The sequence below is a fragment of the Homo sapiens genome, chromosome 14 (assembly GCF_000001405.40).
Source record: "Homo sapiens chromosome 14, GRCh38.p14 Primary Assembly".
NCBI lineage: Eukaryota > Metazoa > Chordata > Mammalia > Primates > Hominidae > Homo > Homo sapiens.
The window spans coordinates 43,477,664-43,480,080 of record NC_000014.9 but is presented as its reverse complement, the minus strand read 5'-3'; the positions used below and the strand labels follow the sequence as shown (position 1 = coordinate 43,480,080).

At 38.5% G+C, this 2,417-nt stretch overlaps 1 annotated feature.

The window, feature by feature from the left end:
* Window positions 900-1,444: an enhancer, noted in NCBI's record as "NANOG hESC enhancer chr14:43947840-43948384 (GRCh37/hg19 assembly coordinates)". NCBI's record gives its function as "activates a minimal SCP1, AML or CMV promoter by ChIP-STARR-seq in naive H9 embryonic stem cells {active_cell/tissue: H9 hESC(naive)}" and the evidence as "EXISTENCE:reporter gene assay evidence [ECO:0000049][PMID:30033119]".

The following is a 2,417-nucleotide window of genomic DNA, read 5'->3' as shown; positions in this document are numbered from 1 at the left end:
CAAAGCACATAAAATCTGATGATGACCCCAATTGCTGTTCCAGATGTAGTCTCTTTATAGGAGCAATTAGCATTGCCCCTGGCACCTATTACACAGCTATAAAACTGCCAAAAGGTTTTGTTCTCTACCAATGAGTAGAAAACACCAGCAGCAGTTGGCTTTCAACTTGTAATGACAGCACTAAACCTCTATTGTCTCTTTCCCCTTTACAGTTTTCCCTCATAGTTTAGTTTGTGTGATTTGAGAGTAACTGAATATCTCAAAAGACATTATGCTGGCTCACCACATTGATATTTACAAGCTGTTAAGACATGATAAGGCAGAAATAGTTGATAAACTCTAAAATTTTGCAAGACACATGCTTGCTTAAAGAAATAACACCTATCAAATGTCAGGGGTTTTCTACTTTAGTCATGATTATTGGTGCTTCTGACTTGGCATGTATTAGGATTTCCCCTTTAAAGTGAAAGGCAAAGTTGATGCCCATTTCATTCTTTGGAACTAAAAGTGGGGCACAAGTCTCATTATCCTTATTTCATTTGGCTTGGGAGGTAAGATATGACAAATTGATTGTGTTCTCTTTTACCAATGAACTTTTAAAGCTACAAGATTTCAGATTGGGGGTTTGGACCTCACATAGGCTCTGAGAACTGGCCCACGCTGTAGTGAGCGAATATAGCTCTGCCATATATGACTTGGCAGAGCCAACGACACTCAAAATTCCTGTAGCATATTAGTACATGTGTACAGTCTGTGGCCAGGTCTCAAAGAGAATTAGGTTGTGTGTCCTTAGAGCTTGGAGAAAATCCCTCTGGGCCTGAGGGTAGACTAAACACCACTGGCTTACAAATAAGCATACAAATTAAGCTGACCAATGAATGGGCATTATCTAATCCACCCAATCAGAAATGTGTGACAGTAGTCCTGTACCACCAAGTAAAAATACTATAGAGAAGAGCCTCAAGTTTGTCCTGAAAGCACACATAAGATGTCCAAGCTCATGGGTCATGCTCCCACAGTGCCTATTTTCATTACATTGCCCTTCACCCTCAGCCCACTACCATGGCCTCCTGGTGAGAGCCATGACCAGTTAACTGAGGAAGACAACATTTTAGTCATCTTTACAGATAGTTCTGCACGATAAGCTGACACCAGCTGGAAGTTGAAAGCTACAGGATTAAAGTCTTTTTAATGAGAATAAAGCATTGAATTTACAGTGAAAGAGGGGAATCAATGGGCTGATGAGTGTGGATTTCACTGCTTTTACTCTGTTTTTCTTTTTCTCAGCTCTTAGTAACCCTTGGCCTTTTAGGATGTTAGGATGACCTTTTGAAAAATGCAGAGTCCAGCTACCAAGGAAATGAAAATAGGCCCACATTTTTTCATATCAAATACTCCACACATAAATCAATTTATTCGTTTCCATAAGACATTGTGTTTTGATGGTTTAGGAGTCTTAGTTCTCAGGTGCTATGGGCTGAATTGTACTTTCCACCCTCACCTAAATTCATATGTTGAAGCCCTAACCTCCAATGTGTTGTTATTTGGAAATGGCATTGGGGAGGTAATTTAGGTTTAGTAAAGTCATGAGAGTGGGACATTCATGAGGGGATTAGTGCCCTTATAAGCAGAGACACCAGAGAGCTTGGTTGCTCTTTCTCGCTGCCATATGAGGACATAGAGAGACGGCAGCCATCTACAAGCTAGGAAGACAGCCCACACTGGAATCCAACCATTTTGGCACCATGATCTCAGATTTCTAGAATCCAGAACTGTGAGAAAATATATTTCTCTTTAAGTTATCTGTATCTGATATTTTGTTATGGCAGCCCAAGCAGGCTAAGACATTATTCATATTTTTTTCCTGCTATTTATATCTTTTTACCTCTTATTTTATATACATTGGTGGTAATGAATGTGAACATTTAATTCCTGGAATAAAAGGTGTTAGAGTTGTACTAGATTGTAATAGGCATGGAAGATGAATGAGCATCACCAGGCTACTGATGAAATTCTGTGGCCTGTTTCAGTGAGAGCCAGTTTTGGCAGCAGAGGAGTCTTCTTTATTATGATTTTTGATCCCTTTCCCATGACTGTAAAGCTGGGACACACAATTATATTAGTTACCTTGGAAGGAGTATGTCTCCCAATGGGTCAATTTTGTGTTGTGTGGGGAGACATTTCTGAAGTTCCAACATCAAACTTTTTTCTTCTGCCCCTGAAAATATTTTATGTGCTTGAGAAGTAAAAAAATATTTCTTGCATGAAAATTTTGACTTTCTGCTTTGAATCATTATTGAAAAATTAAATATGCTAATTTTGCAAAATTTGGCAGAAAAAATGCAAGCAAATAAATTGAAATCAGTCAAAATTCCATTTTCAGGGAAAATCAAGCGATAATCAACCATTATTAAAAT